The sequence below is a fragment of the Homo sapiens genome, chromosome 7 (genome assembly GCF_000001405.40).
Source record: "Homo sapiens chromosome 7, GRCh38.p14 Primary Assembly".
Taxonomy (NCBI): Eukaryota; Metazoa; Chordata; class Mammalia; order Primates; family Hominidae; genus Homo; species Homo sapiens.
Window position 1 is genome coordinate 47,350,547 of NC_000007.14, and position 24,339 is coordinate 47,374,885.

At 50.0% G+C, this 24,339-nt stretch overlaps 1 protein-coding gene and 1 long non-coding RNA gene across 26 annotated transcripts in view, besides 4 other annotated features; both read right to left on the reverse strand.

Annotated features, from left to right (window-relative positions):
* Window positions 1–24,339, reverse strand: part of TNS3 (tensin 3) — a 307,433-nt gene that overhangs the window by 75,393 nt on the left and 207,701 nt on the right. For all 25 annotated transcript variants that reach the window (XM_047420733.1, XM_047420729.1, NM_001410878.1 and 22 more), the window contains one exon: window positions 17,819–19,075. In XM_047420733.1, the coding sequence (XP_047276689.1) occupies window positions 17,819–19,075 (1,257 nt within the window). The remainder of the gene's footprint in view (window positions 1–17,818; window positions 19,076–24,339) is intronic.
* On the reverse strand, window positions 373–10,659 carry LOC124901629 (uncharacterized). Its single transcript, XR_007060319.1, has 2 exons — window positions 3,263–10,659; window positions 373–2,739 (listed from the first exon to the last, which is right to left on the reverse strand). It is a non-coding gene; the product is annotated as an uncharacterized LOC124901629 (long non-coding RNA).
* Window positions 7,393–7,552: a silencer, noted in NCBI's record as "silent region_18167". NCBI's record gives its function as "represses an Ori minimal core promoter by ATAC-STARR-seq in GM12878 lymphoblastoid cells {active_cell/tissue: GM12878}" and the evidence as "EXISTENCE:reporter gene assay evidence [ECO:0000049][PMID:35858748]".
* Window positions 20,407–20,997: an enhancer, noted in NCBI's record as "H3K4me1 hESC enhancer chr7:47410550-47411140 (GRCh37/hg19 assembly coordinates)". NCBI's record gives its function as "activates a minimal SCP1, AML or CMV promoter by ChIP-STARR-seq in naive H9 embryonic stem cells {active_cell/tissue: H9 hESC(naive)}" and the evidence as "EXISTENCE:reporter gene assay evidence [ECO:0000049][PMID:30033119]".
* Window positions 20,998–21,589: an enhancer, noted in NCBI's record as "NANOG-H3K4me1 hESC enhancer chr7:47411141-47411732 (GRCh37/hg19 assembly coordinates)". NCBI's record gives its function as "activates a minimal SCP1, AML or CMV promoter by ChIP-STARR-seq in naive H9 embryonic stem cells {active_cell/tissue: H9 hESC(naive)}" and the evidence as "EXISTENCE:reporter gene assay evidence [ECO:0000049][PMID:30033119]".
* Window positions 21,590–22,180: an enhancer, noted in NCBI's record as "NANOG-H3K4me1 hESC enhancer chr7:47411733-47412323 (GRCh37/hg19 assembly coordinates)". NCBI's record gives its function as "activates a minimal SCP1, AML or CMV promoter by ChIP-STARR-seq in primed H9 embryonic stem cells {active_cell/tissue: H9 hESC(primed)}" and the evidence as "EXISTENCE:reporter gene assay evidence [ECO:0000049][PMID:30033119]".

Sequence of the window (24,339 nt, forward strand, 5' to 3'; positions counted from 1 at the left end):
GCTTGCTCAAGGCGTTGCTACCGGGCTGGCGGGAGCTGCTGTTGAACCCATGTCCTGTCACCAGCAGTAGATGCTCACTCAGAGGCCAGCCCAGGGGCCACTTGGCAGGGGTGGACTCTGCCTCTCTGCTCACAGGGGACGAGTCCTCAAAGCCATCTCCAGAATGAAATAAGAACAACACAAAGCTGGCTTAGGGGATCCTACAGATAATGCAGCAAAGGCTGGGGCTTGGCACACAGTTGCAGGCAGTAAGTGTTATAATGGGCCACACTCAAAATGGGCTGTTCATGTTGTCATTAAAAGTCAAGTTTATGGAACTTGAAGTGGACAAACACGCTCCAACATTAAGTGACAAAAGACAGTGGGCAAAGATGCATGTGTAGTGTGGTTTCATTTTTATTTTAAAAACTAAGAAAATGTCCTAAAATGCTCATAAGAGCTTCTCTCTGGGTTGTGTAATTCTAGGCACCATTCATATTTTTTCGGAAATGTTTCTATCTTTCAGGGTTTTCGCCAGTAATATGTATTACTTTTTAAAATTAGGGAAACAACACACAGATTACCTTCGAGAGGAACAAAGCTTCTTTTATTTTGTAGTACTCTGTGCTGCTGTACTGAATTTCCCTAAATCCCGTTCTAATTTTGCATTAGTATTAGTTCCTGTATTCTCCCAAACTCACGTGTTTGATCCTTACACTTTTCCTTCTCTCTGATAAATCTCCCATGTCTGATAGCCATATGAAAATTAATGTGGGAGGTAGTTTTCTGGACCAATATGCTCAGAGGAGATGTGGAAGTGACATTCTCATTTATAGCGAGCAGGGCTTATGCTTCCCAGAGGTTACAATGCAAGGCGTCCTGCAGCAGGGGTCTCTCTCTCCCTTCTTTAATTATTCAACAGAGGGGATCTCGGTGCTCCTTTAATTGTTCAACAGAGACCCAAGGCAGGCCCACTAGCTGTCTTCTTCAGGCAAGACAACTTGAACGTGAGACTCCACGCTAGGTCCAAGGTAGATGCCCAGGAAGCCCAGTAGTGGAACAGAATCCAGTCAAGGCTCCGGTGCCACATCCAAGCCCAGGACGTTCCACCAGGCGCTGCCTCCCTTTAACCCGTGCACAACGTCTAGGGCAGAGATGGCAATGGAAGCCAGGCCACGGCACCTATGTCTGCTGTGTGCAAGAAAGAACCAAGGAAGGCCCTAGGGCACGGGTGCAACAGCGAGCAGGAACTAAGCTCAGAGTGGGGTTACAAAACGGGCTCCTGTCCGTGAAGAATGGACCACGCTAGGAGTGCTCCCTGGAGACTGGAGCTGCCCCTCCCACACACCCCGCACCTCTCTCACAGGAACACACCCACATACTCACATGCACACAGTCAAACTCTCATGTGCTCCCAGTCTCCGGCACTTTTTCACACCCACACACTTGCAGACACATGTATGAACACTCACTCTCACGTGGTCTCTTACACACATTTTCTCATAACACTCATGCAGACTCAGCCACTCATGCATTTGCACACACACTCTTACACCCACGTCACACACACCTGCATACTTCACACTCTTAGTCTCTCACACACTCTTACACTCACACACCCTTGCACTAACACTCTCACCCACATTCACACAACAGTCACAAGCAGACACACACACTCATGCTCTCACACTTTCTCATATACTTACACTATACTCACTGGCACTCACACACGTGCAGTCTCTCACAGTGTTTTTCATGATACACACATTGTCACACTCACATTCAGTCTCAGTCTTGTACACTCACAGACAGCCTCACACAGTCTCACACTCATTCTCACACTCACACTCACGCACAGTCTCACACGCTCACTCACACCCACCCTGTGCTCCAACACGGCCCCACAGCTGCATGTGCTGCTCACAAACGGATGGTCCGTGATGGTGGAGGGTCAGGTTCTGCATTCTGAATACTGGCCCCACCTCATCACCCTGTATCTGCAAACCTCACACCTGTGTCAAACAAGCCCTTCTCCCCACCTGGGAGCTGCCTGTCAGGAAGCCAGGGCGCTGGCTGTTCCTGGAGGTCCGTCCTTTCCATCCTGGCCCCTTCTCCAGGACGAGGCCACCCATCAGCATCTCCACTGTAGAGGGGTTGGTTCCTGGCTCCCTTCCAGGGGCAGATGCAGCCAAAGGCACCCTCTTCTCACTGAGAGCTGCCCCTCCACTCAAGGCCCCCAGATCCTCATCCCATCTACTGCTCTGACTAGCCCAGCCCCTGGGTCCACAGGTGACTCCATGGCAGTGGTGACTTGCGCTGGGTCTCGAGTGTGCACACAGAGCCCACAGCCCATGTGCTACACCAAAGTTACACCAGGGACTTCCAGAACCACTCTTTTCATGTGGCTACAGGTGGGGCAGAGGTGGGAGAAGCAAAGCACTTTTGCTTCACACTCTGATGTCTGGGTGACCTATGAGAGGCCACAGCTTGGGGACATTTCCTCAGGCGGTTCATTTGCTAGCTCTGGTACGCTGCCTACCAGGATCAATGCTCACCTCTCCAGAGAAGGTCTGCATAAACAGCAAGCTCCGTACCTCTGCACTGCCAGCTCAGAGAGCTCTTGGATTGCTTTCTGAGGACAGAGGCAGTAGCAGCCAGCTGTCCCAGGTGGGGACAAGGATCAGGTCTTATTCAGCTCCAAAGTCTGTCCAAGCTGAGACACCCTGCGGGTTCAGTACTTCTTTGCTAAGTCGGTGAGCTCTGAAGGGGTGAAGAGGTGAGGGGTGAACAGGTGAGCCCAGGCCACAGGTTAGGAGCCCTGGCGCTGAGGCACTGACTTCTGAATTAAACCCAAAGGAGGCCCTAGCACTTGGTAAAACACTCTCTCTCTACCCCAAATCTCTCTTCCAAAGTGACTGATTTATGGTTTTCTTTAGTATGATGTTCTATCATTGCAGAAGATTAGAAAAACACATAGAAACATATGGAAGCAAACCAAGCTCCCTGGAACCTGTGAAGAGCCACATATCTCAATGAAGACACACATGACTTTTACATTTCTTTTTCCTCACTGAGGCTTAATTCCTGAGCACTCCCCGAGGGAATCATTTAATTGTTTGAGTCCATCAATTACTTCTTACACACTTCACATCAATGTGAAATGACCAGCACCTGAAGCAGTCTCTTCCTGTCCCCTAGCCTCCCTCCTACCACAGCCCAGCACCCCTCCTCCTCCACCCTCCTCAGCTGCCCTGGTCTTGCTTGGGACCACAAGGGGCCTCACCCTACAACCATCCTATCCTTGAGCTTCTGGTAAAACTGCAGGGGCCAGCAGTGTAGCCTCAGGTCTCACTCCGCAACCTGCAGCCCTCCCACTCACACCTGCAGAAAGGGGAGGTATGGCCTTCACCAAGAATATTACATTATATGCATCAAAAGGAAACAAACAAACAAACACAGAGGACAAAACACACACACACACACACACACACACACACACACACACACAAATTCCAAGGTACGACAAAGAACTGGCCGTAATGCAATGAGATTGGGCAGTTTGAACAATGAAATCATGAATTGAATAATTATATTGTTAAGGCCTATTCTCCAAACACTACTACAAAACTGTCCATGCCTATATATTTTTCTGTTCAGTTAAGAAGTCAAATCCAGGAAAAGAGAAGAAAAAGGAGACCTCATGGGAGCAGGAGAGAGCTGCCACCACACAGATGGCTGTCACCTCTGGAAGGAGCTGATAAGGGGACAAGAGGGAATTTGCCAGCACTGGAGAGCACCTGCAGGGCTCTGGGCGATCCGCCCTCCCACCCCCAGCTCCCCAACGTACCCCTTCTCAGAAAAACCAAGGAGAAAGGGAACAAAACCCAAGCTCCCACACAGGGATGTTCACGGGCAAAGGGCAGCTCCCAAAGCCCTGGGGTGGGGCAGGGGGGCACCTGCATCTGGCTGCACCCATGGCACACACACCCTGATCTCTCACACCTGTGCCCACCCTGCTCCCAGCCTGAGGCCCAGGTGCTGGGGAAGAGCTGCCCTTACTTCCCTGCCAGTTCCCAGCCAGGAAAAAAAAAAAAAAATCCTGCATCCTCTCCTTACAAAGGTCATGAGTACTCAGTGCAGAAATCTCAGGCCCCTTGAAACCCCCAGTGAACACAGACCCCGGTGATCTGCAGGTGATGTGCAGCTTCACCCACTCCATGCAGCTGGGGTCTCTGTGGAGGGAGGGACAGGCAGTGGCTTTTTCTTTACACAGTCTTGTGCCCCTCTTGTCGCGGTGACACGCTCATTGTCCACCAAAACATGACATGGTAACATGGTCTCCAAAGGTCACATGACTGGACGCTGCCCATCTCTTTGGGCAGTCCCCACACCAGGCATTTAGCTGTCTTCGCCCAAGCCTCCTTCCCTCCAGACACTGGGTGCTACCCACCCAGAGCCTCGGGAACCACGTGACCTTGAGTATAAAATGGGACACATGCCCCAAAGTCCCCTACACTGCCACTCCCAAAGACCAGCATGTTTCCTCATTTAGCAGTCTCACTGTTATTCACGGGTGGAGCCGGCGTCAAGGACAGATAAGGAAACGTGCTGAGGGCTGCCCAGCCAGCAAGTTGCGCAGGGTCACCTGAGACTCCGCCACGCCCAGCGGGATCTGGGATTCACCACAGGGTGCAAAAGGACACCGAGCCTGCGAGGCAGGAGGACGCTCAGTCATTCCGGCCCCACAGGAGGAGCTGGGGATGGTGGGGCCTCAGCCCCAGGTGCATCCTATGACGTACCTTATCCAAAGCCACCACAACAGGGTGGGGGACGGTCCTGACAGGGAATCCTCACGTGCTCTGAGGAAAGAGCAGGAAAGCCAGTCCTTGACTGGGGGCACCCAGGGGCCTCGTGAGAAGGGGATGCATCGCCGTCAGAGCCCTGGAGAATCAGGGATTCAGGCCAAGACACTGGGTGCTGTACTAAACACATGTGGGACTGAACTCAGCCCAGCCTGGGGGTCAGCACTGTTGCCATCAATTCACCCCTGAGCAGTCTGAAGTGCAGGAGAGGGCTTCTCAGATCGCTTAGCCAGAAAATGTTTTTTAAATTTTGTTTAAAACACCCACAAAGCTCTTCGGCAACTTTCCACCTTGTCCAAATACACTGAACTCCCAATTATGTAAACTAATTGAGAGTGTAAAATAACACATCCTGATAGGTAAGTCAGTACTTATGTTGACCCTGAGCTGTGATTCTGTGATTCAGACTGCTCTTGGAGACTGATCTTTGCCAGCGCACGGCCTGGCAGATCCCAGGCCCTGAGGCTCTGCTGGGAAGTGGGATGAGGGAGGGGAAGGAAGATGGGTCAAGTGTTCAGGAGCGGACACCCACCATGCTGCCCACTCACACACTTCATGTCACTGCATTCTCTCCACTGTGGGGTCACATAGCCCACTCTGCCCTGGTGAAATAAAGCCAGCACCCAGGTGGAAGGCAGCCCATGGGGTCGCCTGCCTCTGCCTCTGATAACCAATACGTGACTGTTGGCTGTCCTCTAAATTCCACAGCAGGGTCACAAATCTTAGAACCACCCTGCGGCACGTTCCAGCCTCAATGAGCCAAGGGCCAGCTCTCCTGGAGGCTGGGACACGCACCTAAGTTGAGAACTGCAAATATACAACAGTGGTTCTCAAAGGCCATTGTCCACCTTTTATCACTAAAATCCTAAAGCTCGGGCCTCACCTGTGAAGTCAGAACCTCCAGCGGTGAGACCTAGGTGTCAGTATTTTTAAAAACTCCCTAGTGTTTCCAACACACAACCAAGCTCAAGAATCACAGCAGGTCTCAACCCTGAATTAGCACTGCATTATTTGGGGAGCATTTTTAAAGCAAGTCTGACATCCAGGCCCCACCAGGGCCAACTCAATCTGCCACCCTCTGGAGGTAGAAGCAGGTACCCACATTTTTAGCGTCTGCATTTTTAAAGCTCCCCAGGTGACTCCAACATGCAAGACAAAGTGTCCAACCTCTGTTCTAAAAGAGACGGAATCCGCTCCCTGAGCAAATCTTCAGGATGCAATATTGACTAAGACAGTAGACCTTAGGTGCTCTTACACAAAAGTAACTAGGTAAAGTGGTGGATATGTCCATTGGTTTGACTGTAGTGATCCTCTCCCTATGTATAGATATAACAAACAAAATATCATGTTAAACACCTTAAATAAATACGATGATAAATAAGTTAATTAAAACATAGAAAAAACAGGGGCCGGGCACAGTGGCTCACGCCTGTAATCCCACCACTTTGAGAGACTGAGGAGGGTGGATCTTTTGAGCCCAGGAGTTCCAGACCAGCCTGGGCAACATGATGAAACCCAGTCTCTACAGAAAAATACAAAAAAAAAAAAAAATGATCCAGGCATGGTGGCACATGCCTGTCGTCCTAACTACTCTGGAGGCTGAGGTGAGAGGATCAATTGAGCCCAGGAGGTCAAGGATGCAGTGAGCTGTGATCACACCAACTACACTGCAGCCTGGGTGACAGAGTGAGATCCTATCTCAAATGATAAATTAATTAATTAACTTAAAAAATAAGAACAGGTGAAAACTCATGACATGCTAGAACATTACCTATTTTAAAACATGCCTTCTTTCATTTTCTATCTGGGCACTAGAAGGTAAAGTCCCCATAAGCTACTGATTTATCTTGATGTGATCTTCTAGGAATAAAGCGCGACATCACACAGGTGTGCCTGATAGGTTCTGGAAGCTCCCTTGCATTCCTAGGAGTGAAAACAAATAACAGGCAAAGACTGCTTCACGGTGAGCTTGAGGCCTCCAGACTTCAGCTCATTCACACACACACACTAATCTTTTCGAGACAGTGTGTAAAAGGAGGCAGGGTGGCATGACAAGGATGCCCCAACACTCCTCCCAGCTGAAATGCTCCCAGAAATGGTTTTAGGAGTCTTCTCCCAAAACTGAAACAGGACTGATTGACCAGCCCCTTCCACGTGGAGGGCATAGCCTTAAAGAGCCGCACAACTTGCAGTTTTTTACAGCGTAATGTGTTAGGAAATCATTAGCCAGGGTTCTGACGGACATATCAAGACCAACCCAGGGAAGAGCCTTCCCCTCCCAGGCCCACCCTCCCTCAGTCGTGCTGTCTTCATGTCTAACCCTGATTCTAAGAGAACGGGTAGGCGCCGGCAAAACTGCAACAGAAGGCGGAAGGGGGGAATCCCATTTTTTAGATTGCAAAATTGAAAATTCTTTCCACTGGGAAACACTGAAGTCCATGGCTAGGTGGTGGCATTTCTTCTAAAAAGGCATATTTAAAAGGGAAATGATACGTCCACACAACGAAGCCCTCCAACATGAGAAATGCCAGCAATACCCCATGTTTTGTAAGTCAACTGTAACCTTACGTGCAGATGTGAAAAGCTGCAAACCACAGAAGGGGGACCCCCGCCTGCCTCACACACTGCCCCGCCCCAAATACCTCATCAATGGGGCTTCTGTACAGGCTTCAATGCCTGCCTGTTCACATGCATTGGTTTTCTTTTTGGATCACCCCCCATCACGTGACCTTACTGGCCTCTTCCACTAACACTTCATCTTTTTTTTTTTGACGGAGTCTCACTCTGTTGCCTAGGCTGGAGTGAAATGGTATGATCTTGGCTCACTGAAACCTCTGTCTCCCCAGTTCCAGTGATTCTCCTGCCTCAGCCTCCCGAGTAGCTGGGACTACAGGCACGTGCCACCATGCCCGGCTAATTTTTGTATTTTTTAGTAGAGATGAGGTTTCATCATATTGGCCAGGCTAGTCTTGAACTCCTGACCTCGTGATCCACCCACCGTGGCCTCTCAAAGTGTTGGGATTACAGGCATGAGCCACCGCGCCTGGCCAACATTTCCTCTTTTAATCACTGTGGCGTTTATTATCCCATGCCTCAGTACGGATACAAAAGCTGTCCACCTTCAGGGCCACATGGGCTGCGCTGAACATAAGTGTGGCCACAGGTCCACCAGGCTGATGAACTGTGGGGAGCGACGCAGCCGGTGACTTCTGGCAGAAGCCGTGGGAGCCGGCAGTGCTCTCGGGAGTGTCGGCAGCCTTGGGTGCACAGAGAGGGCTCACCCCTCATCCCAGGTCCTGGCATGAGGCCCATGTCAAGCCACAATGCAGTGGACATGTGGCATGATTGGAAAAAGACCATGTTGCTTTATGTCCCTGAGACTGTGGATTTGTCGTAACTGCTCCACCCTGACAGAGGGAGAGAATTCTACCACCACCTACCTAGGATTCCATAAATTAGCAGTTCCCCTGAGCCAGCACTCAGGCCGTTAGGGTCACACAGATCAGCCCACTCCCAGTGCAGCTTAGGCAGAGCTTCTGGGGACAAATGAAACACCCCAGAGACCTGGTGATACCAAATGACTTTCAAGCATCAGTGGGGAAGTTCCCCAGCAAGTTACAGAGGTGCCACAGGACCTAGCAACCCCTCTCCTGGGTAACGCCCCAAACAACTGAAAGCAGGTGTTCAGACAAACACAGGCACACCCATGATCACAGCATCACCATTCACCGAGGCCAAAGGTGGGAACAACCCAAGTCTCCATCGAGAGAGGAATGAATAAACAAACTGTGCTCTATCCCAGCTGTGGAATATTACTCTGCCAGGAGCAGTACTGAAGTTCCCACATGGGCTGTAACACGTCCGGCTCGAAAACATCACACACCACGTCACAGGAGCCAGCCACAAAAAGCACATACTTTGTGATGCCATTTATGTAAAATGTCCACAGTAGGCACATCCCCAGGGACAGGAGGGGATGAGTGAGTGCCAGGGGTTTGGCAGGGAGGTGTGGACAGGAAGTGACTTCAGGGGGTATAAGGTTTCCCTTTGGGATGACGACAAATTTCTGAAACTAGATAGTCATGATGGTTGCACAGCAATGCAAATGTCCTTACTACCACTGAACAGTACACTTAAAAATGATTAAAATGCTAAATTTTATGTTACATGTATTTCACCACAATAAAAAATTAATGAGTATTTTTTAAACCTGAGGGATGATTTCTGTTTTCTACTGTGGGCCGGACCAAAGATTTTCATCTCAAAATTCATATGACTTTATTGTGAATTACTTTCTTTTTATTTTTCCTTTGACATGAGTGTTAGGGTGTTAAATTTAGTTTTCAGTATGTGCTTAAGGAGGTTATATTCGCTATGACTTTCATCTCAGAAGAGTAAAGATGGCGCTAGAAGGTATCTGTTATAGAAACGATACTTCATTTTGGGCCTGAACCAGTGAAGGTCCCTTGATGTAGCTATCACGGGCAGTGTGGACTGAGCAGAAGGTGGGCTGGAATCCACACCTCAAAGTCCCAGAAGGCCCAGATAGCACCTTCTCCTCTGTGGCCCTAGCCTCTCAGCAGTGTCTTCAGAGCGCCCACCAAGGTGGTAGGGTGGGAAACCAAGGCCCCCTGCTTTGCAGAGTGAGAGTATCTGGGGCAAATGGAAAGCTTCATCAACTCTAAAATTTCAAAGTTGGTTTTATGCAATAAAAAGAAAGTAATTGCAATGGCAGTTTCCCCAAGCAGACTGGAGTTTCTCATTCTAAAACGTTTTCCGAATTGGACACCCACAGAGCTCCCTGCAGTGCAGTGGGCTGACTCGGTTATTAAATGTGCACTCACATACACATGACCTGTTCATACCCACGGCCCTAAAGCATCGGGGTCTGAAGGTGGAGAGGAGCTGTGTCTAGTCCTGACCCCTGGGCAGGAGTCTCTTTTCAGAGTTCTCAAGGCACATAAATATCCCATCTCTCTCAGAAACCTCCAGAGACTGAAGCTCACAGATGGAGAAAAAGCCTTGTTTTGCCAGTGGTAGCAAACAAAGAGCAAGAGTCCCTCACGGACGCATGTCCAGCGCCCGGGGCCCTGGCTCCTTGGCTCCCAGACCTCCTCTATCCTGGTTCTCTGATGTGAGTACCAGGAAGTCCCTTTATAAGACCTGGGTCCTAGGACCTCACTCAGCTCCCTGGAGGGGGTGGTGGCCAAGGGAAGCATCTCAGAATAAAGGTGACCCTGGGCTGACTGAGACCATCCAGAGACAGCCCCCAAAAGGCAGAGGTGCTGCCATCAGCCCTGGTCTCTTGCTGACGCCTGAGTCCTTGGAGGGCTCCAGGAGTGTCTATGCCTGGTGCTGCGGTCACTCCTCCATCCTCCACCTCAGATGCGCACGCTGCTGTCTTCCCCCATGCTCTGAGGGCCCGGCACTGGCAGGATGATGCCCATAACTGGGCACTGCTCAGTTATAACACACAGTACGGAAATAACGACACCTGGACTTTTAGAAAGTACCATGGATCCCCTGTGTCCCTAGCACGGATCTGAAACCCCCATACCCAGATCACTAATAGCCAAATTCAAGGCCCCTTCATTCTTCCAATGTCCAGCTGCTACGGGCGCAGGCGCTGGGGCCCACTTGCTTACTTCCCTCCCTCCCTCCTGAGATTCTTCCTCTGCAGAGTTGGAGGCCAATGCCACCCCATGGAACCCCCATCCTGCCTAAATGCTATCCTCCATTGTCTCTGGGACCCTAATAGAGCTCCCAGGCTCAGTGCACCTTCTCAGTGCCTTCTCTTCTGGTAAGACAGTAACCATGCCAAAAAAAAAAAAAAAAAACAAGCAAGGGCCCAGCCCAAGACCCCAAGGCTCGCCTCTGCCCTCAGGGAAGAGCCACACTCCTTGGCCCCCATCCTGGCCCTCCATGGTGGGGCCTATCTGCATCTCCAGCCTCACTCCCCAGCACTGAACTTCCCTGGCACACTATGCTTTCTCCCGGTCTGCCTCTCCTCCAGACCATCTGCCTGGTAAGGATCCCTCTGCCTCACAAGGCCTGGCTGAGAGGCTCTGGCTGAGCACCCCCAGCACGTTCCCCAACTCTGGAGTTGAAATGAGGTGGGACTGTCTGCCTGTCTCCACTTTGTGAGGCTGTGAGCCTTCTGCCACGGAATCAGAGCTTGCAGATAAGCTGCTTTCTGAATCCTAAAGCGCTCTTCCAGCTTTCACATTTGGTTCCTTTGGTTGGGGTTTAGCACACAATTTAAATCAACGGGCTCTCCATGGTCAATTATTAAAAGCTTACAGTTTCCATTGCTCTGAACTTTCTTTAGGATGCACAGGTTATCAGCCATGGGTTAGCACTAACAGAGCAGATGCCGAGTCTGGGAGGGACATTAAATGCCTGGTGGGAATGCCACAGCACTATCTGCAAGCAGAACAGGGCCTGCCAGGTTGCTGTCATCACAGGGTGGAGGTTGATGTAACATGAATAAAATATTTTGACAACATGAAGCAAAGAGCCCTCAAGGTATGAAAAAAAACCACAGAACTGGCTTTTTGCCACCCACGGAATCATGAATTTCACAGGTTGAGTCATTTCTTTTGTTACTGGGATATCATCAGTTGAAATATTCTCCCACTTAAAAGGGTATGATACAAAAAACCCACCACGTGCAGGCTGAAACCAGGCTGAGACCCAGAGTGGGGCGGGGACAATGAGCCTGGCAGCAGCACCCAGGGGCTCTTCCACAAAACACCAGTGGCAGCAGAAGTCAGACCAGAGTGAGGGAGCAGGGCCTCATGGCTGGCAGGCACTTGTGGGGAGTAAAATGTCCCCAAACCAACTCCCTGAATCTCACCCATTCTACAAGAAGGATACAAAACTGTGCTCACTGGCACACAGAGCACCCAGGTCTCAGCCACCAGAGCTTTGTGATACCCCACCTCTGGAGGGCCTCTCTCTGATCTTGTAGGTGGGCAGGGCTACTCTACACTGTCCAGCGATAAATCTCCCCTCAGTGCCCATTCAGCAGAGTAGTTCAGGTCTCAAAAGGATCATTTGCAGTTCCGCCTGTCCCAGACCCCTGTATTTGCAAACATATGTCGAACTCTTCCTGCATGCCAGGGAAAAAAAATAATGAGCACTTCCCTCAACAGGTTTACTGGCTGGTGTAAGAGTGTGAGTTTAGTGGAATTAGGACATAGCCATGGGGTGCAGAGTCAGAGAGACGAGAGCTCTGTTACGTGTCCTGGTGAAATGAAGGTACCTAAAACAGTGTAGGCACTCAGAGTAACAGTTCTTACTATTACCAACATCATCAACATCACCATCACTAACACCACCATAAACATCATCACTATCATCACAGTCATCACCGTCATCATCACTATCACCAAAGCATCATCACCACCATCAGCATCATCACCATCATCACAGTCATAACCATCATCACTGTCATCATCACCATCACCATTACCACCATCAACATCATCACAGTCATCACCATCACCATCACCACCATCAACATCACCATTACCACCATTAACATCATCACCACCATCAACATCACCACCATCATCAGAGTCATTTACCATCACCATCACCAACATCATCACAGTCATCACCATCATCAGGGTCATCACCATCACCATCAACATCATCACCACCATCACCGTCATCATCCACCATCACCACCATCAATATCACAGTCATCACCATCATCATCATCATCATCATCACCATCATCACTGTCATCATCACCATCATCATCATCAGTCATCACCATCATAAGGGTCATCACCATCAACATCAACATCATCACCACCATCAACATCACCATCATTACAATCAACACCACCACCATATCCATCACCACCATCAATATCATCACAGTCATTACCATCATCACCATCACCATCATCATCACCATCACCATCACTGTGATCATCACCACCATCAGCAGCAGCACCACTATTATTATTATGGTGCTGGTATGAAAGACTTTCTCAGGAAATACTTAGCCTTCACATATAATTTTCATCTCATAAATAATGCAGGATGCACAGAAGTCCCCCGGAGGAGCACAGGGCAATGCTATTCCCAACTCTCTACCACAAGTGGTGGTCTTTCTCATAATGAGGACATAATCTGCAAATAGTGAAAGATTCTGGTAACTTCAGGATGCTGAGGTCTCTGTGACAAACCTTCATCCACAGTCAGAATTAAGAAAGTTGTGTAGCAGTTTGTGTCCAGGGATGAGATGGAAGGCAGGCCAGCAAGAAGGGGCTCATGTAGACATAGTGCTCTCAGAACTTCCAGTCTATGGTTTCCCCTTGTGAGCGAGACTCAAGGTAGTCTCCAGTCAGTCAGGCAATGCCACACTATCTATGGGGCTGAACCTCATGCACACAGATGTGGAAATGATGCCCCTTGCAGGGTTAGGTGATGGTACCATTCTGGGCATGTCATGAGCCTTTTGGACGTGCCAGAATCCTTCCTATTCACACATGGATCTAAGCTGAAAGAGGAGGGCTCCAGCTCAACAGCCCTGGTCTCCTTTGGCTGGCTGAGGAGACGGATATGGATTGAGGGATCTAGGACACCTTCAAAGTGCAGGCACTCCAGCAGCATCCCCAACCTTCTGACGATGTCCCAGGGACTCGGAACTAGCTGCTTTGCTACCACACTTGTACGCGTGTCCCTGCTAGGATCTAGTAATTTTTGTTTTCTGCCGCTTGCCAAAGTAGCCATTTCCTATTGAGAAATGTCAATACTGAAATTTAAATTTTAAAATCAAAAGAGTTCCAGTGTTTTCTATACCTGCTAGTGAGGGAAGAAACAATTCCTTCCTTGCTTAGCTGCAGTGCCTGAGAGCTACAGAAGTAAGCAATAATTTTTTTTTTTTTTTTTTTTTTTGGGCCAGAGTGCTTGCTCTGTCACCCAGGCTGGAGTGCAGTGCACGGTCTCAGTTCACTGCAATCTCTGCCTCCTGGGTTCAAGTGATTCTCCTGCCTCAGCCTCCCAAGAAGCTGGAATTACAGGCATGCACCACCATGCCTGACCAATTTTTGTAACTTTGTAGAGACAGGGTTTTGCCATGTTGGCCAGGCTGGTCTTGAACTCCTGACCTCAGGTGATCTGCCTGCCTCGGCCCAGTAAGCATCTTTTAATGGGATTTCTATCAGGTCAGAAAGTCTTGGACTGAGATCCAAAAGCCTGCCATGCAGGCTGTTCAGAGACCACCTCTACACTGTGCAGGCTTTTGACACTAAATGAAGTGCAAGTCTCAAGGCTTGCTCCATCTCCCAGCTTGGTGCTTACCTAGCACAAGAGGCACGTCCTGGAAGAGGAAGCGGAGCTCCCAGGAAGGGCATGGCTCACTCTGCCCTGTTTCCAATGCTGCGGCTAACCCTTCAGTGTCCATTCATCACTGCTCATGGACAGTTGCTCATGTGTGGCAGGGTTCCTACAAGAAGGTCACTTCCCAATTTTAAAAAGCTCTGGGGAGACTGGTAACCAGTTTTGCTTATACCTAATCTTCTGACATCTTTTTAGTTCTGAAGCTATGAAAAAAATGGACCAATGGCCCCAGATGCCTGTCAAATATGAATAGATTAATAAATACTTTAAATTTGTATTGTCAATACCCAAATATGCACTGAATTTTACTGGTCTGTTGTTGAGATATGAAAGTCCTTAGACTTCAAAATGATAATTAAATAACTTTTATAATAAAACGCATTAAAGAGTATCTAAAATCAAAATCAAAATGTGTTATTGGGCTGGGCGCGGTGGCTCATGCCTGTAATCCCAGCACTTTGGGAGGCCAAGGTGGGCAGATCGTGAGGTCGGGAGTTCAAGACCACCTTGGCCAATATGGTGAAACCCCATCTCTACTAAAAATACAAAAATTAACCAGGCATGGAGGTGCACGCCTGTAGTCCCAGCTACTCGGGAGGCTGAGCCAAGAGAATCATTTGAACCCAGGAGGCGGAGGTTGCAGTGAGCCAAGATTGTGCCACTGCACTCCAGCCTGGGCGACAGAGCAAGACTCCATCTCAAAAAAAAAAAAAAAGTGTTCTCAAAGTAACGAGTTTGGCTGGGAGCAACGGCTCATGCCTGTAATCCCAGCACTTTGGGAAGCCGAGGGGGGCGGATCACAAGGTCAGGAGATCGAGACCTTCTTGGCTAACATGGTGAAACTCCATCTCTACTAAAAATACAAAAAAATTAGCCGGGCGTGATGGCGGGCGCCTGTAGTCCCAGCTACTGGGTTGAGGCAGGAGAATGGTGCGAACCCGGGAGGTGGAGCTTGCAGTAAGCTGAGATCACGCCATTGCACTCCAGCTTGGGCGACAGAGTGAGACTCTGTCTCAAAAAAATAAATAAAAAAATAAAGTAATGAGTTTACCAAGTAATTTAAAAACAGCCAAACTGAGGGTGGATAATATGATGTGGCTTTCGAAAATTCCAGGCCTTATAACTGTTTCTTTGCAGCAAGAACAGGGAATCACTAAGGATTGAATTCAATCAATTGGAAGACATATTAACCTCAAGAGACTACTATATGTTAACCTAAGCCAAGAGACTACTATATGTTAACCTAAGTATGTGGAGTCCTCTTCTCCACATACACTCAGATGCCTCCAGCCTCCTCCAAACCTACATGAGATTGTTATCCAGGAGAAAAGACTTCTGATTTTAATGTTTCCAAGTAACTTCTTTTAAGAAGGTTTGGTGAAGTAAGTCAGGTATGATACTGCAGATAGTTTTTTCCCATTAGAGCCTTTTTAGTAAACTCAGAATTTCCCAAATATATTTGTTTAATGCATCGACCTGGACCTATTGTTCAGGGACTGCTACCCTGCTGTGGTGTTGTGGTTGCTATACGGCTGTATTGTAAAGTCCAATAATCTACTCATGGGGGACTCTCCAGGCTCCTTCCAACTCCCAGCACATGACATACAAAGAGGGAGTTACTCAGGCAAGCTGGAATGACAGCTGTTTGCTCAGTCACACACCTAGTACATGAAAGGTGGATGTGAACGAGCGTTTCTTCACACCTTCCCCGGGCCAGGCACTGGGATAGGGTTTCCTTCTCACAGATGGAGTGAAGAGAAATTCACAGAGACGCTGCCCTTTACCCACTTGCATCACTCAGGCAACCCACAGCACACTCAGACCTGAAGCCAGGACCAACATCTGCAGGGTGTGTGCTCCTTCGCCCAGGCCACCCCAGACCTGAGTCGGGACTGCAGTCCTCACCTGTGTGACTCCAAAGAGGATGGAGACACTGAGTCCACACCTCAGGGCACTGACTTTTGCTCTACTATGCAGGTCCCATGTGAACCTGGGCAGGCCACATAATCTACTGACACCTCCATCAACACGACTGTAAGGCAGAGACTGGTGCCTGCAGCCGGGGTGCTTAGGACGATGACATGGGCCAGCACACCTAAACCAAGAACCACGCCAGCATAAATGGTAGCATCTCTCATCCGTGTTACCAGCACATGGTGGGAATCACATGCACGGCGTCACACAGCCATGTCCCTTGTCCTTTACCTCTCTGGTCTTCACTTTTAGAGGCAAGTCCCTCTAAGGAGCCAGCAGCCCCCAGATGGCAAAACACCCCAACGTGCCAATGTGGGAGGCCCTGGCACCACACGGATGCCACACTTTCTGGCCCAAGGTTATCCTTTGGGTCCTGGTCCTTGCATGGCACTGCCAGGGCTCCCAGAACACAGCTCTGTCTCTCCACCTTCTGTAGCCTCCCAGTGCCCGCAGGCACAGCCGCTACAGCCTGGCCGTCCTCTCCTGGCGTGCACCTCTGTGCAGGAGCTTCCAGACCACATGATCTCACCCACACAGTCCCCTACCTGAGACAACCCTGCTCCGTCCCAATGCCCCTCTCTGCCTGCTGAGTGTTTCCCTGGCCGACCTGACCACCTCCAGCTCTCTGGTCCCCTCAGCCTTCATGCTTTCCCAACAGAAAGAACACTGTATAGTAACCTGGTCCCAACATGCAACTTGCCCCATTACATCGATGCAGCTTGAAGATAGTGCTGCTGTAACCCAGGCAGATGTCACTGCCTGTCCACCACTCTCAGCCCTGGTTCCTCCCAGGCCTCAAGGCTGCACAGAAAGGCACTGTGCTGGTTTCCAAACCACCAGCCTCACGGGAAAAGGACATGTGCAGTCCTGGCCTCCCTGCAGTTAGCATGACCCCGGCCTGGTTTTGGGGCATCCCCAGAGGCCCCCGCACCGGGTCCCATGGCTTTGGGTCCCACCACAGCTCTCAGTCCCCTCACCCCTGGGCCTGTTCCCCCAAGCCCCTCCCATCACTGAGCTGCTCTCCACAGTAGAACCCCTTGTGGACCCCAGGCCTCTGCCCAGCCACTGCCTTCCATAACCAGTCTCCCCACACCACCACGGCCAACTCTGACAGGTGTATTTGTAATCAGAACATTTTATACCACGACTGCTTAATCAATTCCTTGTGCCAAAGCTGTCTGAGGGCTCAGTAGTCTTCTTCATCCCCAACCTTCAGCCCCACTGAAGTACCTGGCATTCTTCCACAAAGCCCTGACCTATACCGCAGGGACAGAAGTAAGTATGCTTTCTTTGTAAATCCACCAACATTCACGAAGGAAGAATGGTTTCACTGTTAAGCCCATTCTGCAATGGAGGCATGACCGGCCCTTTCCAGCAGAGAGCATGCTGTCCCTGCCCCTGCACTGACGTTAACAGCAAGTCTTCTGCCTGGTTCTTCCCATCCTCCAAATCTCCTACCAAGGGACCACACCAGCATGACAGCATTTGGATCCTAGGCCAAAATTCACAAGAGTTGAAACTGCAAGGGAAATGTCCCTCCCTTGTGGATTTCGCCAAAAGCTAACCTACTAGGCTGATTTCTCATCACACATTAGCCTCCCGTGGAGCACCTCCCGTGGAGCACCTCCCATGGAGACCCAGCTCACCTTGCCGCCCGGTGGCCCTGCTGGGGCCCTCTCCTGTGTCAGGCAGCCTGCTGCTTGCCCGGAGCCCACCTCCCACGCTGTCTGGAGACACAGAGCCATTGGCCTGGCTACCGAGGGCGTTCATGTGGGTAGGGATGGGCTCGAAGGTGGGATCCAGCTCCAGGATCAGCCTGTTGAGCTGCTCGATGGACTGGTCGATGTCCAGGGTGGGCGAGCCTGGGGAGGGGCCTGTGCTCAGCTCTGGGCCGGCTCCATTCACAACCTGGTCTCCTGGAAACCTGGGTTTGAACGCTTTGCTGGGAGAGGGCTGCTGTGTGTCAGGGGGATGTGGCCCACTGCCTACACCCCTCTGGACAGCCACCCTACTGCTGGTCCCTCGGGTGGGGGTGAGTGGCACTCTGGGCTGGGCCTGGACGAGGCCAGGATTGTCTGCAGGGCAGCGGCTCACCAGCCGGGCCTCCCCATCTGGGGCGAAGCTATACTGGTGAGCTACAACCATCTGCTGCTGGCGCACCCAGGTCTGTGTGGAGTAGCTGCTCTGCCCATAGGCCTGCATCTGGGCGGACACTGAGGGCTTTCTCAGCAGGGGCTGGGGCTGCTTGGGCTCTCGACTCCCAAAAGTCCGCTCCCGCTCATAGGGGCCGTCCATGCCAAGGCCCAGGTCCGGAACGAGGGTGCCCTGCGGATCTTCACCAACGTTGCTGCCAAAACCGTCAGATAGGAGTGAGTTCTGGCTGCTCTTGTGGCAGGTGAAGGGACCCAGGTGGGCCGACTGAGGCCCTTCCGAGGAGGACAGGGTCCCAAGGCTGTCCACACTGTGCAGGTCGTGGTGGGGCATCTCGTCATCCAGAATGTCTGTCTCCCGATCCTTCAGAGCAGCGTCTCCATTCACGTGAACCTGGGCTGGCACCACGTGGCGGGTCCCACTGTACTTGCTTCGAGCATCAGTCATTTCCTTGAGGGAGCTTCCAGGATCTTCCAGGCCAAAGCCACTGAGCAGCTGGTCCAACTCTGCCTTCTCCTGGGCACTCAGGCCCCTCCTGGTTCCTGGGGCCAGGCGCTCTTCCGTCTTATCCGTCCTGGCAGAGGCTGTAGAGTGGCCGGAGTCACTGCTGACAGACAAGGTGTGGTCACTGTGGTCTGGGCTGTTGGTGGCCGGGATTGCCTGGGGGCCACCTGGGATGCCAGGATCCGAGGAGCTTTTCTTCCTCACCTTCGCGTAAAGGCTGCCATCGACAGGGCCCTGCGTGTGTAGCACTGCGGGGGAGAAAACCGGAGAGAGGCTTTCAGTCAGGGATGAAAGTGAGCCTCACACCCTCTGAATGGGCGTGTGCATCTGTCTAAACAAATAAATGGATTCAAAATATGACTTACAATAAACAAGGACAAAGATTCCTCTAACATCACAAAGTTCTATATATACTCTGGAGGATGCCAATGAAAAGGCATTCAAATAAACATCTTCAGGTGCTAGAATCACTTCTACCTTTCCATGCAAAACAAATTGTCATTTTGAACTCTGGGATTCTTCACCTTTTGAATCATCTTGCCTTTAGGGCTCATGGTTAATTTCATCATGATTGTGAACATTGAGCTCGGCTTGGATCATAAATCCCCAAGAATGGACTGTTCATCTTAGACAAGAAGAGCTTCCGTTCATAGACCTGTCTAACATTTGTTGAGCATCAGCTAGGTGCTGGGTAGCAAACTCCTACTAAATTGAATGTCTTGGTGAAACCCGTCTCTATTAAAAATACAAAAATTAGCTGGGCGTGGTGGCGCATGCCTGTAGTCCCAGCTACTCGGGAGGCTGAGTCAGGAGAATCACTTGAACCTGGGAGGCAGAGGTTGCAGTGAGCCGAGATCATGCCACTGCACTCACTCCAGCCTGGGCAAGAGAGCAAGACTCCGTCTCAAAAAAAAAAGAAAAGAAAAAAACTGAATGTCTGCTCAAATGTCAATACGAAATTCAATGAAAAGAGAAAGTGCAGGAATTGATTTGGGTCTTCCTGTTTGGCACAGCAACTTTGGGCCACGTAGGTGCCGGGTGAATGTCTCAGGATCACAGACACTTGAGGCTGACCTGCATGCGCTGATTTCCATACATGGAATGTCAGGAAAATGAAACTTTGAACTAAAGTGTGGGCAGGAAGGGCTGAAGCATCAGCTGCTATTATTAATCACGGCCATGGCTCTGGCATTCGGGGACTCCCAAGCCTCAATCTGCTGACTGGCCAATTGCCGCGACCACACATAGCAGGTCCTTACCAAGAGCCTCCTAAAATAAGCGGGAGTTTGTAGTCAGCACATGCCTCACCCCATGGGCCTCCCGCACTTTCTTCTACTTCCTCGACTGTGAAATTGCAAGCATTCCACAGCCAGGGAGCTGCTGGTGGTGGGAAGCCCACGCTGCGTGGGCACCTGGAATTTGAGAGACGTGAGCCACTACCTAACAGCAGTCACTGAGCCTGGCCCAGGAGCCCTCTGGAGGGACCTGCCCTGAGCATGTGCCTCACAGCCCCGGGCTCCAGGTTGATGCACCACCATGGTCAGCAGCTGCTGGCCTTTTTGAAAACACTGGGACAACGTGTTGGGACAGAGTCCCAAGGGGTCCTGGGGTGTGGTGCTGAAAACGCGCCCACGCCAGGCTTTCTTCTTGTTTCAACAGTGCCCAAGGGAAAGCACGCAGAGAAGTGGGGAGTGGGGAGAGTGGACACAGGGGTATGGGCCCGTCTGCAGTGGCCCTGACTCCCATCCTAAAGTCAAGCCTAGGGGAGGAAGGGTCTGGGAGTAGAAATGCTACATAAAATGCTGAAAATAAACCAAGGCTTCAAGGCAGGGAAAGTGATGACAGAACATATGCCATGGGATTAATTCAAGGTAACAGTCTCAGTGACAGCTACTGTTTTCTGAGTACCTTTTATTGACAGGGCAGGAGCATCGTGCATTTTCTCTAATTCTCACAGTATGACCTATGTTGTTATTCCTTGTTTATCTATAAGGAACTGAGGATCAAAGAGAATAAATAACTTGCCCAAGGTCAGGCAGCTGCTAGGAGGTGGAGGTGGGCCTAGAACCCAGGTGCACTGGCCCTGAAACCTGTGTGCTCCTGCTGGCCCACTGCCCACCTGCCCAGAGAGCACCAGGAGGGCACACACCTGGAGGCTCTGTCAGTGGCCCTGCCCACAAAGAGGTGGCATTGAACTCACATTGCTCTGACCAGGGATCAGTGAGTGACCAGGCTTCAGACTAGGCAGAGACTAAAAAACCTATTTCGCCCAGCTCTGTGCAAATTAAACAAAGGGAAAGACTGGAAAGACTGGACTAAACTATAAGGCATGTGCAAATATCACCTCTACAATTTCAAAAATGGAAAATGCAATGCATTTGTTAATGCCATCACTAGGTGACTGTGAAGTAGAGTGGTCCCTTGAAGAAGCTCTGGCATCAGATGGACACTGGTTCAAATCCCAGCTCCATCCTGAGTCCACCCTTAGGGTTCTACCAACTGGTGCATTCACCTTGACCTTCAGCTTCCCCGCTATAAAATGAGGGTGTGGGTAGATGGTTCTATGTAAAGGTTGACCTGAGAATTAAATGGCATAGCACACGGGTGAGTGTCTTTATAGGCCCTGAGTAAACATCAATTTAATTTGGTTTCTGTTTAGATTTCCTGTTACCAGGAAAATTTAACAAATGAAAGAACCTGGTAAATCCTTCCTGCTGTTTTCAGCGTGTGAGAAGGAGGTGCTGATAAACGGCTTCTGCTCCGTGAGAATGACAGAAACTACTCCTCCTCCCCACGATGGAAGGTGTTGTATGGCCATCAGCCCAGTCCCTCCCACGCCTGGCGGGCAGCCAGGACACACACTGCAGGGCCACTCAGCCCAGAGCATGAGCCTACCCATTACGGTCACAGATTTCACGCTGCTAAGTCTATATGACTTCCCACACTCTTCTCCCTAAATCTGAGTTAAAATAAATTGGCACAATGACTTAAAAAAAAGCCCAATAATGAGTTGTAAAACAATTCTTCTAATCTAAATTAAAATGCTGTCAAAAAGTGCTTATTAATCAGTCTGAGGTGGAATCCTTCAGCTAGCTCCCTGCCCCGTATGCTAAGAACAGTACCTGATTAGAAGGCCCTGTACCAAATGGTAAGGCACAGGATAGTCCCTCTCCTGGGGGGAGGGTATGAATAATCCTATTTTATTAGTAGTAGAAATCTTAAAATAATAATAGATGCATTAAAAACAACAACTTTTCCATTACCATTGACTAAACACTCCATCTACGTCAGGCCCATTCTGAGCACTCAGAGCAGGGTCTCATCGAATCCTGACAGCCCAGGTGGCGTTCAACCACCTTCCTATTAATACATGAAAGTACAGCCATGGGACAGAGAGAGTCCAATCCAACTGTGTCCAGTGCCAAAGACCAGGCTGGACTCTTGCTAAACTTCCTGCTACATACATAGGTAGTTTTCTACATCAGAAAATGCCCAATAAATGTTAAACGTACAGGAAAAGAATATGAAACATATCAAGTGAATTCCAAGATAGGACTGGTCAAGCTTCTGAATCACTCTGTAGGAGCACAGATCTTCCTAAAGGTGCAGAGCTCTGGGTAGGCCATCCCAGGAGCTCCACAGACAACCCCCTGCACCTACACCTCCGTGGTCTTCAGTGGGGGCAGGAGAGTCAGCCTCAGGGGGAGGGAAGGAGAAGGGGCCTCTGGAACACACCGTTCCTATCCTGTTTTCTCATAAAGGGCTATCATTTTGCAAAAGGAAGAGCTTGAACTTCAGTCGGACAAAGGAGACGGCCGTTTCCCTTTATCTTTGAAGATGGGATCCCCATTCCACCATTTACTCTGTGTGTGTTCCTGGTCATGACATTCAGGCTGTTCAGTTTCCTGGTTTTACGTTTACAAAATGGAATGCTTCCTATCTTTCAAGGGAATGAAAGATACAAAGATGCCATCCATTTTTCTCTTAAAGTTATGAGAACTAGAGAATATGGACATAAAGTACCCAGCTCATAGGCTCCAAGTAAGAGTACTCATAATTACTATTAAAGGCTCTTCCCATAGTGGACAGGGCCTTGCATCCGCTCCCTGGGCTCATCTCTTTACCGCCTGCCCTGTTCCTAGCAGTCCACTGCAGGCATGCACCTGCCCTGTGGCCTTGGCTTTTGTCTTTCTCTGCATCTCAGCTCCCTCACCTCCTCAACAGGTGCTGCCCTACCACCCTTTCCTCACTGAGTTTTTGTCCACAGCACATACTTGCATTCAGAAGAACTGCACCTTTACCCACTGGAACTCAGGCTCACTGAGGGCAGGGAGTTTGCTTTATTTTGCTCTCCCTTGCATTTCTAGCATTAGTGAACAGCCTCTGACACCCGGTGAATATTGAGTGACAGGCTAAAAGTTTGAGCTTTTTCACACATGACAAAATGTGGGGAGCTATTTTGGAAAGCTCAGCTGCCTTAGCAGGCAAAACAAGCAAACGAAGAACAATCACCAACCAAAACCAAACACACACACAGCCCACAAGGATCTGAAGGTAGAAGAGCCGTGCAGCGCTTGGCCACCTGCAACCCAGGTGTCCCCACTCTCTGGGCCTCTTCCCAGGCAGCACAGCCAGGTCCAGCCATCCGTGAGAGGCGGGAGCAGGGCAGCCATCACTACTGACCTGGCTGGTCTCCAACTGATAATGAACACAACTGGAAAAATAACTGAAGTCACCCAATCTAAGGGTTCTAAATTCCAAAGAAAACAAAAGTCATGACCTAAAGGTTAGCCCATTTGCCCATGAAGCAGGAAGCATGGGCCAGAGATCCAGGGAACATTTGAACATTATCTGGCCACAGTGTGCTTGGAACCAGGGGCACAAAGATTAATGAGACAGAGCCCTGGCAAACAGCAGCTGCAAGCAAATGGCACCATGCTATCTGCCATTTCCAGTCTCCTTTATCCTCCTGCCACCTGTGAGGCTGGCGTTTCGTTGCTCAAACCCACACAGCTCCAAGTGGCAGGGCTGGGTAAATATCTGTCTTCTGACCTCTGTATCGTCTATCTTCTCACCTATGAAACTGCTACCTCTACACTGGGCACATAGGAAAGAGCCTCATCTAAACACTTTCTGCCATTGCTATGCTTTCTAAGACTCAATGCAAAAGCTGCAGGATAAGAGCAATAAAAAGAGAATCATGACTAGAAAAGACACCTAACAGAGGTGTGGAAGCAGGGTCACTGCATGGCTGACTGCCAGTCTCGCCAATGAGAAACCAAACAGGAGCCCGCACCCTGCTGTTTGCAGCCCCCAAAGGCGCTGATCCATCATTAAAGAATACCCTCCTTAACTGATGAGAGAATGCTACTGATAATATGGTTCTGGTTTGGAAAAGTGATGTAGAAAGACCACAGAAATGACATAGCCAACTAAACTCCCATTTGTGGTTCCTGGACATGGGTTGTGGGTGGGGTTCCTGGTGCCCTGATGAGCTCCTAGGAGCAGGCAG